At 65.3% G+C, this 15,078-nt stretch overlaps 2 protein-coding genes across 23 annotated transcripts, besides 3 other annotated features; both read right to left on the reverse strand.

Annotated features, from left to right (window-relative positions):
• Positions 1–1,649: 1,649 nt before the first annotated feature.
• Positions 1,650–8,230, reverse strand: MROH6 (maestro heat like repeat family member 6). 18 transcript variants are annotated; one of them, XM_047422089.1, is made up of 15 exons: positions 7,879–8,230; positions 7,491–7,643; positions 7,125–7,279; positions 6,335–6,452; positions 5,931–6,115; positions 5,701–5,838; positions 5,409–5,523; positions 5,155–5,298; positions 4,899–5,072; positions 4,010–4,177; positions 3,582–3,719; positions 3,244–3,346; positions 3,069–3,134; positions 2,856–2,923; positions 1,897–1,975 (listed from the first exon to the last, which is right to left on the reverse strand). In XM_047422089.1, the coding sequence occupies exons 1-15, from the start codon at positions 8,170–8,172 to the stop codon at positions 1,970–1,972; spliced, it is 2,025 nt and encodes a 674-aa protein (XP_047278045.1). In that variant the 5' UTR covers positions 8,173–8,230; the 3' UTR covers positions 1,897–1,969. The 18 variants fall into 18 exon arrangements, with proteins under 18 accessions (XP_047278048.1, NP_001094348.1, XP_011515517.1 ...); XM_011517221.3 differs by having other exon boundaries at positions 4,899–5,075; XM_047422090.1 differs by having other exon boundaries at positions 1,898–1,975; positions 3,600–3,719; positions 4,899–5,075.
• Positions 6,739–7,588: an enhancer, noted in NCBI's record as "H3K27ac-H3K4me1 hESC enhancer chr8:144653451-144654300 (GRCh37/hg19 assembly coordinates)". NCBI's record gives its function as "activates a minimal SCP1, AML or CMV promoter by ChIP-STARR-seq in naive H9 embryonic stem cells {active_cell/tissue: H9 hESC(naive)}" and the evidence as "EXISTENCE:reporter gene assay evidence [ECO:0000049][PMID:30033119]".
• Positions 8,231–8,331: 101 nt separating the features above from the next.
• Positions 8,332–13,788, reverse strand: NAPRT (nicotinate phosphoribosyltransferase). Of its 5 annotated transcripts, none has more exons than NM_001286829.2 (13): positions 13,551–13,788; positions 13,274–13,401; positions 13,115–13,197; positions 12,727–12,857; positions 12,520–12,635; positions 12,104–12,300; positions 11,890–12,030; positions 11,536–11,620; positions 11,080–11,160; positions 10,881–10,983; positions 10,688–10,803; positions 10,444–10,551; positions 10,243–10,358 (listed from the first exon to the last, which is right to left on the reverse strand). In NM_001286829.2, the coding sequence occupies exons 1-13, from the start codon at positions 13,774–13,776 to the stop codon at positions 10,296–10,298; spliced, it is 1,578 nt and encodes a 525-aa protein (NP_001273758.1). In that variant the 5' UTR covers positions 13,777–13,788; the 3' UTR covers positions 10,243–10,295. The 5 variants fall into 5 exon arrangements, with proteins under 5 accessions (XP_047278379.1, NP_001273758.1, NP_660202.3 ...); NM_145201.6 differs by having other exon boundaries at positions 10,649–10,803; NM_001363146.1 differs by lacking the exon at positions 12,520–12,635 and having other exon boundaries at positions 10,649–10,803.
• Positions 13,196–14,103: an enhancer, noted in NCBI's record as "H3K27ac-H3K4me1 hESC enhancer chr8:144659908-144660815 (GRCh37/hg19 assembly coordinates)". NCBI's record gives its function as "activates a minimal SCP1, AML or CMV promoter by ChIP-STARR-seq in naive H9 embryonic stem cells {active_cell/tissue: H9 hESC(naive)}" and the evidence as "EXISTENCE:reporter gene assay evidence [ECO:0000049][PMID:30033119]".
• Positions 14,104–15,012: an enhancer, noted in NCBI's record as "H3K4me1 hESC enhancer chr8:144660816-144661724 (GRCh37/hg19 assembly coordinates)". NCBI's record gives its function as "activates a minimal SCP1, AML or CMV promoter by ChIP-STARR-seq in naive H9 embryonic stem cells {active_cell/tissue: H9 hESC(naive)}" and the evidence as "EXISTENCE:reporter gene assay evidence [ECO:0000049][PMID:30033119]".

Here is a 15,078-nt window from a genome sequence, read left to right on the forward strand (position 1 = left end):
TGGCTAATTTTTTCATTTTTTGTAGAGATGGGGTATTGCTATGAATAGTGACATTAACATTGAAACAGGAGACAAAACAAACTCCAGTATCTCAGATCCAAGTTACAGAATCTCCTAGACACTCCTACCCACAGTGTAGGAACAAACTCAACGCCTCTCAGACTCATGGTCCTCCTTGGAAAACCCTTTCGGGTGACTTGAAAGGGTGAGTGGGGTGGGAGTAGCCCGGGTCCTAGAAAGCATTTGGAAAGGCAGGCACACAAGGCACAGCCTCGGGGCCCTGAGACCGGCAGGGCCATGCCATGTGACAGGCCACACCTGAGCCCCATCTTGAGAGCTGCACCACCAATGAGCTCTCTGGCAACATGGCCCGTTAGAGATTGTTTGGGCATCCAGGCCAAGACTGTCCCGGCCCACTGGCTGGAGGTGGAAAGGGAATGAGTGTCAGGGTGCACCTGCCCTCTTGCCCTCCAATCTTAGACCCCGTTGGAATATTTGCCCTGGGGTGGGCTCTCTGCAGGTGGATCTGATGGACCCTGGGGACACAGCATCCCCATGGAGGGACCAGCCCACTGTGCCACCTGGAGCCTCCCAGGAATTCCAGCAGGGAAGAGTCACACTCTAGAGGCCATGTGGACTTTGCATGAATCTCACTCCTGGCAGGGCAACCAGGTTCTGGGCAGTGCCAGAGCAAGGCGGGGCTGGACACACTCCTAACAGGGAGCTGTATGGGGCAAGCCCGCCTGCGCTGCACACAGCCTGCCGCAGGACGGCGCGGACTCTCCCGGGCACCATGAGGGAGGGGGAGGAGCGCAGGGGTGCTGCCTGCCCACCACAGCCAGCTCCCCGCCTCAGCCCCCATCTGGGGTGAGCGTGGCATCACTGTTGGGTTTGCCCACCAGACTGTCCAGCGTGCTGTGGGGTGTGGGCAAGCCTGTGCTAGGTGGGCAGCACATGCTTGCCCTGGGGCCTGGCTCCTGGTTGCAAGGTGAGCAAGGAGGCCGGGCTTGCTTCCCTCTTTGGGGCTGCTACTGAGACGATCCATGTGGCTGTGTCCCGAAACCCGTCCCCGCCAGTGCCGAGGGTGTGCCCCCCATGGGTGCTCCTAGCCCGTCCTGGGAGGTGCGGACCTCGGACAGATGGCTGGTTTGAGAGCTTCCTGAAGGCTAGCACGGACGTCCATGGGGCTTCCGTCTATCTGACCTTCACTGGGCATCTGGTGGCCTCTGGCCTCTCTGGCCTCTTTCTCTCTATCTGTTTCTGGTATGTTGAATCCCGTTTTGGTATCTGCTGTGGAGGCTCCAAACTCATCCACCAAACCTTGCCCCTGACTCCACGAAGACCCGGGCCCTTCACCTGATCCTCAGCTTCCTGCATATGACCTGCAAAGAGACACTCACCCCGGTGCTGACAGCTCTAACCCCATCCATTCCATGCCTGTTAGACCAGAGCGCAGCTTCTCTGTCTTAGGGTTAACCCAACCTGACCTGGCCATAGCCTGTGCCTGGAGCCTGCCTGACCTTTAACCCTGCTGCCAAACTGACTCTACCTGGGGCCATATCAGGGACTATGGCCTATTACCCCAGCCTGAGCCAGATCTTGGACCAGGGTCAGCTCCCATAACCACACTCAAAACAGATGCCCAACGCTTTCCATCCACGTGTGTTTATTTTAGATGCTTTCTGTGTGGGAGCTGGGGAGACAGGTCAGTAGGACCCCACGCCTGTGCCTGAGGGGCCCCAGTCTGGGCAAGTGGTCCCAGCCCTTCACAAGGCTGCACACACTCCCTGTGCACTCGCAGAGGCTTCTCTGAGGAGGAGGCTGTGAAGGAGGCCACGAATGCAAGGACATTTCCAGGCAGGCATCCTAGGTGCAGGGACCTGCCGCCCAAAGCCAGAGAGGTGAGGTCACAGCATCAGTAGCTCCCAGAGCAGCCTCTTCCTCATGTGTCCAGTGGCGCGTTCCTCATTCAGCCCTGGGAGAGGTGTTGGGGTAGTGTCACAAGTGCTCGGTCTGATTGGGCGTGCACACAGGACCCCTACATCTGGACCCCCAGGTGTGATCTGGGGCCTACGTGGTCCAGCTTGGGAGGACGCCGGGGCCAGCTTCTGGAGAAGGCCAGGCTCCCATGAGGCCTGACATAATGAACAGGGGGTGATGATGGCCTGGCTGAGAGGGCACAGCAGGTGTGGCCGGGAGACAGGTCAATAATTTTGAGCAGAGAGGATGCCCGCCAGGAGCCTTAGGATGCTGGCAGGGAATGGGGTGAGGGATGAGGATCGGGGGTGCAGCTGCAGGGCTGGCCAAGGCCCGGACAGGCCACAGCGTCCTGTCCAGGCATGAGGTGGAGACCCAGGAGGGCAGGCTATGGGACCACCAACTTTGGGGTCCCCCAGCAGACTCAAGAGGCCAGGTGCCATCTGGGCCAGGAGCCAGGCCCAAGGTTGGGGCATGGGGCATGCTCCAGGGGGCTGTGAGAACAAGAGCCCTGACGGGGACAGATGGGTGCTGGCTGTCCCCCTCTGTCACCATCAGGGTGGTGGGTGCCTGAAGAGGGGTCACGGGGGTGGGGGGTGGGGGAGGGCATTGGCGTCCAGCACCAGGCCCAGGGAGCCCCTCCGTCAGGGCGGGGACAGGCTGCTATGCGCGTGGGGTGCCCGAGTCGGACCCTGGCCCTCGGGCCCCAGCCCCGAGCCTCAGGCTCGGCGGGGTCCGGAGCAGCCCCAGCGGCCCGCGACGCTCCGGCGCTGGAAGGGGCTGTCGGCGAAGACTGGTGGGGGCCGGGCGGGGCGCGGGGCGATGCGGAGAAGGCGGGGCCCGCGGGGGCAGCCCCGGGCACGGGCCAGCATCGCCACCTGCTGAGCGGACACGTGCGCTGCCGCGGCCACAGCCGGCTTGGGGTCGCTCTGCAGTCGCCCTAGGTCTGCGAGGAGATCGCGGCTCAGGCTGGGGAGCCCAGGAGGGCCGAGTGCCCGGGCCCCTGGCCCTCCACCCACCGCTCCCGTCCACTCCGCCCTAGCACCAGCCACGTCTCCAGGACACCATCCCCTGGCAAGGTGGGGCCTCACCCTGGAACAGGGAGTCCAGCAGGTCCTGGTTGACACAGCCGGGGCTGGCGTGGTGGACAAGGAAGCCTGGACCACAGCAGATGCATGAGTGCAGGCCCCACAGCCCCCCAGGGGGAGGCTGGCCCAGCTCCCAAAGCCCCGGTGCCAGGGGCAGTGTGACCCCGGGCGGCCTCACCTATAAGCACGGCGGCTGCCCGGCGCAGGGGGTCCTGTGGACTCCGCAGGTAGCCCTGGGTCTGGCTCAGGAAGTTGGGCACGTGGCCTGGGTATCGCTGAACCTGGGGACAAAAGGGCTAGTGGCAGGACAGGAGGGCTGATCCTGAGTGCGGAGGAGGCTGCAGAGCTGAATCCAGGGGCCGGGGTTCCAGGGGAGCCCCCAGGGCAGGTGGCATGGTCGGAGACCTTGGACTTGCCCCACCAGTAGCCTATCTGGTTTGGCTGCAGTAGAAACGGTTGGGGGCCCCGGTGAACCCTGGAACAAGTGGGCTGCTGATCATACCCCCTTGCGGTCACCTTGCTTCCCCTACTGACCAGGCGGCAGCAGAGGTGGCTCAGGGCCTCGGGGCTGTCATAGTGGGCCACGGTGACCAACTCCTCCAGCAGGCCCCAGCAAAAGGCGTGGTCACAGCGGGCCAGGGTCCACTCTGAGCTCTGGGATAGGGGAAGTGAGCCGGGTCAGGGGTCCAGGAAGTAGAAAGGCAAAAGGTGGGGTGGGAAGAGGGGGAGCAAGGGCATCGGGTGAGGGGCAGAAGAGCCCAGGGCAGGAGACTGGATTGATTCTGCTCAAGGGAAGAGCAGTAGTAACCTGGCCGCCCGTCACACCTGCCACTGAGGTCCTTGGGATGGGTGAGTCCCTGACCTGTAATTGTCGGAGGGGAGGCACGGTGGGAGTGGTGAGTGTTGGATGGCATAGGGGTGGGATGGTGTCGGGGGCTGCTGACCTCAGCAGCGTCCCTGCTGGGGTCATGCAGGCGCAGCAGCAGCGGCACGAGACTCTGCAGCACCAGCTTCCGCAGGGGGCCGCGGAGCCCCAGCCGGAGCCCGCCCCGGCCCCGGCGCACCAGAGTCCCAAGGAGCCCGACGGCCGAGGCGCGGATTGAGTCCCGTGTCTGCGTGGGAGGGCGCAGTCAGGGCAGGCGGAGACAGAGAGGGGCTGCAAGGGTGGGAGGGGGCGGCCAGCGCGGAGCGAGGAAGCGGCGGGTCTAGGGAAGGCTGCTGACTCGGTGTGATCTGGGGACAGGGAACAGGGCCTGGAGCTGGACCTGGTTGGGAAGCCTGGAGAGCCCCTGCAGGGGGTGGGGCTTGAAGGGATGGGGTCCGGAAGGAAAAGTCGAGCGGGGAGGAGCTTGGCGGGACACGGCCCTGGAGGGGCGGAGCTGGGCGACAGCAGGCGGGAGGGGCGGGGGCGGTCAGGAGGGAAGAAATCTGGGACGGAGACACTGGGGGGACGGGGCCTGGGAGGGAGAAACTGGAGGGGCGGGGCGGAGCCTGGGAGGTCAGGGCCTGGGAGGGACAGACTGACAGACTGGGGGGCGGGGCATGGGAAGGAGAAACTAGAGGGGCGGGCGGGGCCTGGGAGGCGGGGCCTGGGAGGGAGAGACTGTAGGGGCGGGGCGGGGCATGAGAGGGAGAAACAGGAGGGGCGGGGCGGGGCCTGGGAGGGAGACTGGGGGCGGGGCCTGGGAGGGAGAGACTGGAAGGGCGGGGCGGGGCCTGAGAGGGCGGGGCCTGGGCGGGAGAGACGGGGGCGGGGCCTGGGAGGGAGAGACTGGAAGGGCGGGGGCGGTGACAGCGGCAGGGGCGGGACCCGGAGGCGGGGCGTTTGCTCACGTCGTCCAGTAGCGGAGGGAGGCGCGGTCCCAGCTCCGCGCTCAGGAGCCGCACAGGCGCCCGGGGCCGCAGCAGGAGCCTCCTCAGGGCGCCCAGCGCTGCACCCACGAGCCGCGCGTCGCCTTCGCCCAGTGCGCCCAGGAGCGCCGGCAGCAGCGTGCTCACGTGCCGCACCTGCTGGGACTCGGGGTCAGCCTCTTGCAGACCTCGCCGCGACCGGGCCAAGCCCCTCTCCACCCCTCCCCTTCTCTCACACCTTCCTGCGATTCAGCGCGAGGTGGCCCAGGCCCAGCAGGCCCAACCAGCGCACAGTGGGTTCGGGGTCTCCCTGCCAGGTGAGGAGTCGCTCCAGGATGACCTCCTCCCGCAGGAGCCGTGCGGTGGGCCGGCTCTGCAACAGCTAGGCGAGGCACATGGGGTCAGCACGCCCGCGGTCCCCGTGCAGGCCGCTGCGATTCAGGGATCAAGTCCAGGGTCACCCTTCACCACCCATCCGGGAAGCAGGCTCACCCCTGTGAAGAAGGCCATAGCCGTGAGACGCTGCGGGTCGTCCGCGCTGCGAAGCCGAGGGAGCAAGTCTGCGAAGAGGCCTCGCAGGTGGTGGTCGGCATGTGCCACCATAGCACTGGGGTGGGTGGAAATGGGAGCTCTCGCTCCGTTTGGCGGCCTTTCTCCTCGAGAAGACCCCATCCCAACACCACCCTCATGCCCCTGCCTTTTCCCTGTCCCCCTGCCCAGCACCTGGCCAGCAACGACTCTCTTCCTGGTGTGACACCCTGGGGCCCCTCCTCACCCTCCTCACCTGGCCAGCAGCAGGACGCCCTCCAGGTGGGTGTGGGCTCCCACCAGCCTCCTCCAGCCTCCTGCCTGCTCCATGCACGTGACCACCATGCGGCCTCCATCCCCGGTGAGCAGCGCCTTCAAGGCCTCCACAGCACAGCTGGTGGTGGGGACAGTGAGCAGGTGGGCAGTGGGAGCTGAGAGGGTGACAGCATGCTGGCCCGCCCCACGTAACCTGGTGTTGCCTCTCACCTGGCATGGCTATGTGGTGGCCCTCGGTGGGACAGAACCCAAATCTTGGGCATGTCGGGGGAGCACGGGCTGCGGGCCAGCTTGTGCAGCTGTGTGACCAGCGCAAGCAGCAGATGTGGGTAGAAGCCCCTCGTGGCTCCCACGCAGCCCGAAACAGCCAGCATCTCCCCAAGAGCACGTGTGGCCTGTGGAGCAAGTGGCCCACTCAGGCCTGGGGCACGCCTGGAGCTGCACTGGGCAGCAGAGGGACAGGCGTGCTGTCAACAGGATGGGGACAGCCTCAGACACGCATGGGACATTCCAGGAGCAGTTACCTAGGTGCAAACTCCCTATGCCCATCCTCCCCGCTCCTCGCCACCCCCCACCCCCGCCCCCACCCCCTGGTAATGGCTGGAGCCACCTACCGCCAGTGCCTGGGGCTCCGGCCCCGAAGCACCCTTCAGCGCCCACAGCAGTTGCACCAGCACCTGCCCATTTACACGCTGGTTACGGCTTAGGCTGCGCCAGAGCTCGGCTGCTACCCTGAGGGTTTGGAGGGGGCTGGTGTGAGACAAGAGATGGGTGGGTGTCCAGGGAATGTAGGGAGTCCCCAGCCAGGGTGGAGGCAGCCAGTAGGACTCCAGCAGGGGAGGGGCAGGAAACCCCTCCCATCTCCCCCCATCCCCAAATCTCAGAGAAACAAATGAAGGGTTAATTGTGCAGACCACAACATAGCCTATCTCAAGCTGAGCTGCAGGGTGGGGACCCACTGGGAGTCCCGTTGGGTCAGCGACAGTGAAACAAACCTGGCATTATTAAAAAGAAAAAAATTGCCACAGAGAATAAAACCAAAGATAACTTCTGGGGCCAATTAACCAAAGAGCCAGGGGTGTCCAGGCACGTTAGCCCCCCAGCCTCATTCACCCCACTCCGGAGCCAACCCCAGGACGGTCTCCAGGGGAGGCCACCCGAAGATAGAAGGTGGCTCCAAGAGAGGAGCCCAGCATCAGAAACTCTGTGGCAGGAGTGTGGGGGGAGTTTGCGGAGCTAAAAATGAGGGGAGCGGGAATGGATACGGGGCATGAGTCATCGCGGGGCTGGAATAAGGAGGCCCTGCCCCTTTTCAGCTCCCTCTTCTGGGGCCAGACTCCACCGCCAAGCGGGAAGAGGGAAGGAAGCCGCGTGGGGACCGCAGGGCCAGGACGGTTGGGTTACCGATCGGCGGGCAGAGAGCGGGGTAGCAGCGCACACACCACGTCCCGCGCATGCTCCAGGGCCAGTGCGCTCAGCACTCGCAGGGCCGCCCTCCAGGGCCTCCCCTCCGCTAGGCTGGGCACCTGCGCCAGCAGCCCACGCACCAGAGCATGCACCTGGTGGGGAAGGGGGCAGACTTCAGCAGTCAGGCCTCCTCCACCGTCCATTCCCCTCTGGCCTGCACCCCACCTCCACCCCCACCCTGATCCCGCCTGGCAGGAGCAGCCTGAAGATGGCAGGGTCAGGCTGCGCTCTCCAGGCCCCTCCCACCACCTTGGTGCCCGAACCGGCAGGATTCTGTAGGGCATGAAGTGGGTGAAGGCTGACCTGGTCCTCCAACCGCTCGCCCCGGGCCTCCAGGGCTGAGGACAGGGTGAGCACTGTCGCCTGGGTCCCTGCAAAGCCAGCCTCCTCCAGGCAGGCAGCCGTGTACAACGCGAGGTCGGCAAGAACTCCCTCCTCCCAGGAACTCTGGGGAACCTAGGGCAGGATGGGTGGGGCGTCTGAAGTGCCCAAACCTCTCCTAGCTCTCCTCCTGGTCCCTCGGCCTCCCACCTGGCTTCCTACAAAATCCCTTGCTCCTCTGTTGCTCACCAGCCTGTTTCACGCTGACCTCCCCCGGGGCCAGCACCGCCCCCCTGCCACCCCGCCTTCCACCTACCATCCACAGGACCCCCAGGCCGGTTCGCACAACATCCCTTCCCTCCCCCGTCACCTGGTGGGGCCCCTCAGGGGCTGGTTCCAGGGCACTGTTGAGGGAGCAGGGCTCGCTGCCAGCTTCAGGGACGGTGGCCCCACGTCCAGGCTCTGCCTCAGAGGGGGCGGTGAGTGCCTGGGTCTGTGGCTCAGCCTCAGGTTTGACCTCCCAGGACTTGGGCTGAGGGCCTGCGGAAGGGGGTCCCTGGGGCTGCCCCTGCCTGGCCCGGATTCCTTCAGTCAGTGCTGTCAGGGTTAGAGCCCCCACGGGAGCCTCCCGGGCCCGGCTCCGGCCCCACACACCCCCAGCCATGGCGGCCCTTGCCTGCAGCACCTGCCGCTGCTCCTCCTGCGAAGTTGTGCCCAGGACTGACCTAGAAGCCGCCCCGGGCGGGACCACGGACGGGCGTGGTGGCGTGCGCTAGCGTGAGCTTGCGGGGGCTGGGGAGCCACACGGACGTGCCTACAATGGGCCTTTGAGGGGCCCTCCTGCCTGGGCTGCTGGAGGGGAGTGGCCACCTGCAGCCTGAGTGCCTGTGGTGTGGCTCTACCCACCAGGGCCCTGAGAACAGGATCCCCAAGAGCTGGCAGATCCACGAAGAAAGGGGGAGAAGGGCCCCCACCCTGACTACCAGCCCCTGTTGACCAGGGAGCTCAGGGCAGTTGTGGACAGCTCTGAGGAGGTCCTCGCAGGGTCCAGGAGTCTGGGCCCCACCCTGAGTCGAGGCCTGATTCAGCCCCCAAGCAGCAGTCAGCTCCCCACTGGGCCTGGGGCTAGGGGCTGGCCCCGCCCCCTGCACGCTGGCTCCGCCCCCTGCACGCTGGCTCTGTCAGACACCTTGCAACAGGCATGACTGGGTGAGCTTGGGGCAGCCCGGAGGTGTGGAGGGGGCAGTGAAGACACCAGAGGAGCGGTGGCCCCTCCAGAGCTTGTGCAGGCCCCTCTGGGTCCTGGGTCCTTGGCCAAATCTCATGTTGAAACGTAATCCCCAGTGCTGGAGGTGGGGCCTGGTGGGAAGTGATTGGATCCTGGGGGCAACTTCCCCCTTTGGTGCTGTTCCCATGATAAGACTTCTCAAGATCTGGTTGTCTGGAAGTGCGTGGCACCGCCCCACCCCTTCCTCCGGCCATGTAAGACCTGCCCGCTTCCGCTTCCACCAAGATGGTAAGTTTCCTGAAGCCTCCCCAGCCATGCTTCCTGTACCTGCAGAACCACAGGCCAATTAAACCTCTCTTCCTTAGAAATTACCCAGTCTCAGGTATTTCTTTACAGCAGTGCAAGAACGGAAGAATACAGCCACTCTGGCTGGGCCCCTCGGAGTGCGCGGGTGCCCTGGGGGTGCCTGGGGTGTGGTGTGTTCTGTCCAATGTGTGTGAGTCTGTATCTCTCTCCTAGCTCGTACTCCCCGGGGCTGGCTGGACTGGGCCTCTGCTCCAAGTCCCCACCCTCCACCCTCAGCCAACCACACAGTGGTGCTGCCCACCCTGAAGCCCGGGGAGCCAGGTGAGCTGGTCTGGTGGAATGCCTGGGCAGACGGAAGTGCCCCAGGCGGTCAGCATTCCCCCCACACCCTTGCCTGTCTGTGCCACCTCAGGCTGCTTCGACAAGAGAGGCCCAGGCCCCCAGCCTCCACTTCCTGCCAAGCCTAGAACCTCTCCCCCAAGCAGTTCCTCTTGAAGCTCACGTTGCCCAAACTGGCGGAACCCTGAGATCAGGAACTTGCTGGTGCAGAGGCAGGGCCAGCCCAGCACAGCCACGTGCAGTGCCACTCTGGCCAGGTGTCTGGGGCTGAGTCATCTCCTGGAGCTTCAACTTCTTCCCCATTCTTCCTCTCCTTCCGTGGGCTGCTGGGTCAGGAGCTGTGTCCCTGACGCCAGATGCCAGGGTGGTGCTGGGTTGGCAGCAGCAGTGGCAGGAGACACCTGAGCACTCCCTTTTGACTTGGGGAGTTTGAGACGTCTTCACTGACCCTGAGCCTGGGGGGCAGTGCCTAGGCAGGCGTGGGAGCCCAGGGCCACGGCTGGACCCTCTTACCTGGCACTACCCCCAACCCTGTCCTGTCCCCAGCCTGCCTCTAGCAAGGAAAGGTCTGCAGCAACTCCCTCAACTCCAAGGCAGACACCAAAGCCCTCCCTGCCTGTGGCTTTGTAGTTCTAGTGTGGGATCTGACTCCCCACAGCCTACCCAAAGCCGGGGAACTCCTCACTGCCCTTCGGGCTTCAGCACAGGGCTGTCTCCCACGCCGGCAGGGCCTGTGCTTTCACTGGGATGCAAATCTTCCTGCTACCTCGAGCTCAGATTCCCGACTCCAGCCCAGCCGCAGCCCGGGAGGCGCAGCCCGTGGGCTGGGTGAACAAACGACACAAACAACACAGGACAAGCTGTGGGGAAAAGTGAGTGATTCGTGTTGTTTCCAGTCAGCCCCGCTCCGAGTCTCAGGGGGACTGCCCCGCACACAGACTGTTCACCAGGGCCTGCAGCCTCTCGGACAGCACCACCTGCAGGGAGCAGAGGACAGGAGCGGTGGGCAGGGTGAGGGCGGGGGCGCACAGGGCAGAATGACAGGGTGGGCCTCCCCCCAACCTGGTACTGTGCAGGGCTCCGCAGCCGCCTGTGCTCAGGGCTGAGTCGGCTCAGGGACAGCTGGGCCAAGGCTCTAGACTCTGCCAGGGATGGGAGCGGCTCACACAGCTGCAGGGAGGAGGTAAGGAAAGAGAAGCTTGGGGCTAGCTCCCAGTCAGGGCTCTACCGGGGCTGGGGGTCAGGATGAGGGCGGTGGGGCAGCCACCTGTCCCTGCTGGAGGCAGAGCCGCAGTAGTGGCTCCACCTGGGCTGGCCTCACGGTGCAGGGCTCCTGGGCCCCTGGAGGCCACACCCTCAGCTCCTGCCCAGCCTGTGGCACTGGCTCTTCTGCTAACTGCAGCATGTCCATGAGTGGAGACCCTGTGTGGACGGGGCAAGAATAAGCGGGGGCCCTGGTGCTTTGAAGGTGGACAGCAGGGGGGATGGGAGGGCCTCACCGTCAGAGCCCAGGAGCCGGAAAGCAGCCTTGCTCCCAGGCAACGTCTGCTTCTCGGGGTCCTCGGTCAGCTTCATTCGTGGCTGGCCCCCCACGGCCACCAGCTGCAGGAAGAGGGCGTTGAGCTGGCTGGTCCTTATCCCCCACCCAGCACCATCCCTCAGACCTGCCCCCACCTGGGCCCCCGACACTGTCCCTACCTTATAGACGCCACCCAGGGAAGGCTGTTGGGGGCAGGTGACCACACTGGTGCCAATGCCAATGACATTCACCTCACTGCCCTGGGTGGGGAAGGGGGTGGCCGTGAGCCCAGCTGCCCTGGGTGGGGAAGGGGGTGGCACTGCCCTGGGTGGGGAAGGAGGTGGCACTGCCCTGGGTGGGGAAGGGGGTGGCAGTGCCCTGGGTGGGGAAGGAGGTGCCAGTGCCCTAGGTGGGGAAGGAGGTGGCACTGCCCTGGGTGAAGGGGGTGGCAGTGCCCTGGGTGGGGAAGGGGGTGGCAGTGCCCTGGGTGGGGGAAGGAGGTGGCAGTGCCCTGGGTGGGGAAGGGGGTGGCAGTGCCCTGGGCGGGGAAGGAGGTGGCAATGAGCCCAGCCAGAACCTGCAGGGGCCCCCAGAGCCCCCCAGCCACCCTCCGCCTACCCACTCATCCACCCCACCTCCTGGGCCAGTCGGGCCAGCGCCTCCTCGTCAATGTTGTTGCTGACTACGATGAGGACTGACTCCAGCCAGGGCACCTGGAACCTGCCGCGTGGGTGGAGAAAGGGTGGGGGCCACCCCTCGGGTCTTCCTGATTCACCCTGGTGTCCCCCTGCTCCCCGCCCCGCCTCAGTCAAGGACACCTGTGCTCACCTTCTGCTTGGGAGCTCCTAGGGAGCCCCACCACTTACTTCCCTGCCACGGCCTGCAGTATCACCGCTGAAACTTCAGCAGAGTACCTCACTGTCCTTCCCTGCCCATTCCCAAACCCCGGGGATCTCCCACCAGGCACACCTCCTCCCCGGGAAACTCACTGGGCTGCAGCAGCTCGGAAGACCTTGCGGATCTCCTGAGCCTGCTGTAGCAGGTCACCACTGTCCAGCCTCACGCCCACTGCCCGGTAGCCCAGCTCTCCCAGGGCCAGGGCGACTGCTAGGAAGTTGGGGAGACCACTCCTGCAGAAATAGATAAGGGAGTCAGAGGCTGCTGAGGTTCTGCTGAGCCCACCCCTAAAGTGCCCGGGCTCACCTCCACACGCTGTAGGTGTCCAGGAGGCCCTGGAAGGCCCGGGGAAAAGCCAAGGCATAGGCCACAAAGGCTGCCCGCTCGCCTGGATGCGGCTCCTGCACCCCCAGCCCCAGGTGGGCACACACCTGCTCCAGCCACACCTGGGCTTTGGCCGCCAGGTCCACCCCAGGGCCCTCACCAGCTGCTGGCGCCAACATCTGTGGAACAGAGTCGGTGAAGAATGGGGGCCAGGAATGCAGGATGAGGCCTGGGAGCAGCCAGGGACACCCTAGTTTGAGAGCAAAGGTAATGCAGCCCGTGCCAGCTTCCTGGGACAGCACTGGGGTGACCTGCCTGGGTGGCACACCTCTCGCCAGGGCAAGGGCTGGCTTGGGGCCTGTCGCCTGGAGACAGCAGGGTTTAGAGGAGGGACTGACCGGGTCAGGGGGCACCTCGCTGCCTGAAAAGGAAGTGACGAAGGAGTGGGCCAGGGTCCCGGCCACCGGCACACCTCGCAGCTGGCCCGCTAGCACGTTGCTGCTGCTGTCGAAGCCTGGGGAGGAAGGCGGTGGGATTGGGGGACCTCGGGCCAAGATGGGGCTCCTCCTTCCCGGCCCTTGCCTTGCCCCGCACCAGACACTCACCGCCCAGGTAGCTGTAGGTGGAGGCTGTCAGGCCCCCATCGGGGCCCTGAGCCCGCCTCAGGCCCATCTCTAGCAGCCGCTTCTCTGGCCCTGCGATCAAGCGAAGCCGCGCTGCGTTGGTGGCCACCAGGCTGTGGGGAGCCAAGAGTCAGGGGGTCCCAGGGTGAGGATCACTAGGCCACCCAAGACGGCGGTTACCTGGGGCCTGGAACTTCCAACCTGGGAGCTCCACCCTCACCCAGCCCCTCCTTACACCCTGAAGAGTGGGGGCGGGAGGCCAGTCCTGGGACCCCTGGGCAGCCAGCCCCGCCGCCACAGTCCAGCACGGAGCCCCGGCGCTGGGGGCCCATCCCATGCCCACGCTCCCTGCCAGTGGCCCGCAGCCCACCTGGCGTAGCTGACCAGGCAGAGCAGCGGTGTCTCCAGCAGCTGCACCACCAGGAGCGGCCCGGACACCTGCAGGAGCGGCACCTGCGGGGAGAGAAGTCAGCTCCGCGCTCGGCCCAGCACCCCGTGGCCGCCGCGCCGCCCGCTTACCCCTACTCACTCCGGGGAAGGCGAGGGAGCCCTCGGGCAGGGCTCGCACCGTCACCTCGGAGCAGTCGAGGGCCCGAAGGTGCTCGAAGAACGCAGGATCCGTGTCTGGGGGCAGCACCGAGGCCAGGAACTGCACGTCTGGAAACGAGGTAACTGCGCTGAGACCAGCGCGGGGACAGACCGGTCGTGGGACATGGGGGGTTCCACGGGGGGACAAGGACTTCCACCGGCCATAGGTGGGGGTTTCTGCCGGGCGTGGGGGGCTCGTCGCGCGGACGGGGGACTACCGGCGTCCCGCAGGCGGAAGGCGCGCAGGAAGCGCACACAGTCGCGCAAGCCGGCGGCCAAGGCGAAGGCGCCGCCGAACGGGCAGCGGCGGAAGAAGAGCTCGAACTCGGCGGCGTCCCGCGCCCGGCCCGCGCGCCAATAGCCCAACGCCATGGTGGCCTGGTAGAGGTCAGTGAGCAGCGGCCGCGCCGCCGCGCGCGCCTCGGGGTCCTGCTCCGCCGCCATCCTGCTCCCGACGTCCGGACTCCGCCCCGCCCCGACCCCGTGACGCGCCCCGGCCTATGGCGCACTCCCTGTGGGGCTTATCGTGCCGTTTGGGAGCGGCACGGGACTCGATGGAGGACGGGTGGGGCTAATAGTATCGGCGCGCCGAGAGGGGCTGAAACAGCTGGACCCGGGATGGGGTGGGGGATGTCACCCAACTCCTCTCGGACCCCCCAACCCCACTCCAGGCCCAACGGCCTCTTTGGAGCGCAGCCCGGTCTTGGTCACCAGAGGTGCCCCCAGTCGCTCGTGTCTCTGCCCTTTGGCCGGGCAATGAGGTGCAGCTCAGGACTTGCCAGGCGGCGGAAAGGGTGGAGGACAGACCAGCCAGACTCCACCCCCACCGACCCAGAAGACAACCGCTGGCCAGCAGCCAGCTCCTGCCCTGGGCCTGGGGAGGGAGGCCAGAGGCTGCCTTAGTTAGAGCTTGAGCAGCCAGGCTAGGACGAGGCAGCCCAGATGGACGCAAATGTCGCTTGGAAAGAGCTTGGCACCCAGGAAAGGGCGGCGTGGGGCAGGGGGGCGCATGCCCACTGTCGGCTGGCACCAAAAGACCTTTTGTGGCTATGAAGGCCCAGTGTCCCTCAGTGGTGGCTTTTATGGGGTCCTGCAGTCCAAGCCCCACAGGAAACTTTCTAAAGGTTTGAGGGCAAAGTCAGGGGCCACTACCCAGGGAGAATCCATTCCCCTGTGGCTTGGGGCCCCGAGGACAGAGTCTGACCAGAAGTAATCAAGTAATTACACCCCATCCTCTTTCACCCCAATGCAAACACGGGTGGTCCAGGGGAGGGAGTGTGGCCACCCATGCTGACCACATACGGCTGTCAGGATGCTGAGGCACAGCTCCACAGAGCCCAGGCAGCCACGTTCTGGCCACCCCAGAACATCATGGGAGGGGCACAGTCCCTGGAGCAAGGGGCAGGGATTCCAGGAATGAATGAGGTGAGGGGAGGGCCGGGACAGCACATGACAAAGGGCATGGCAGCAGGGCCGGGTGCTACTGGGACTTCTTTCCTGGACAATTCCAGGCTTGCACGCTTGCTCCCATGGGGACAATGCCAACAGGAGGCAGAGTGGTGGGGTGGTGGCCTCTCCAGATAGTGACCTAACAGTTTCTGTTTCTGGCTTTTTAAACCCCCTGAACTGGACTTGCTTTTGCAATGGAAAGAAGAGGGAGGGCCAGAGCTTTGGGAGGGAGTGGCCAGGAGATGGAGGGACAGGCGGAGGTCTGCTGGGGGCAAGGTGACATGGCCACAGAGGGTG

The sequence above is a fragment of the Homo sapiens genome, chromosome 8 (assembly GCF_000001405.40).
Source record: "Homo sapiens chromosome 8, GRCh38.p14 Primary Assembly".
In the NCBI taxonomy this organism is placed as follows: Eukaryota; Metazoa; Chordata; class Mammalia; order Primates; family Hominidae; genus Homo; species Homo sapiens.

What these genes read in the sequence shown, in the direction of transcription:
- MROH6 (XM_011517214.2), bottom strand. Translation starts at nt 8,172, where the DNA reads ATGGCTGGGGGTGTGTGGGGCCGGAGCCGGGCCCGGGAGGCTCCCGTG. An exon ending in GGCAGCCGCCGTGCTTATAG is followed by an intron (nt 3,135 to 3,243) that starts GTGAGGCCGCCC and finishes GCTGTGGTCCAG; the next exon opens with GCTTCCTTGTCCACCACGCC. An exon ending in CGCACGTGTCCGCTCAGCAG is followed by an intron (nt 1,976 to 2,855) that starts GTGGCGATGCTG and finishes CACCTCTCCCAG; the next exon opens with GGCTGAATGAGGAACGCGCC.
- NAPRT (NM_145201.6), bottom strand. Translation starts at nt 13,776, where the DNA reads ATGGCGGCGGAGCAGGACCCCGAGGCGCGCGCGGCGGCGCGGCCGCTG. An exon ending in GCTCCCTCGCCTTCCCCGGA is followed by an intron (nt 13,198 to 13,273) that starts GTGAGTAGGGGT and finishes CTCTCCCCGCAG; the next exon opens with GTGCCGCTCCTGCAGGTGTC. An exon ending in CCCTGGGTGGCGTCTATAAG is followed by an intron (nt 10,984 to 11,079) that starts GTAGGGACAGTG and finishes CTCTTCCTGCAG; the next exon opens with CTGGTGGCCGTGGGGGGCCA.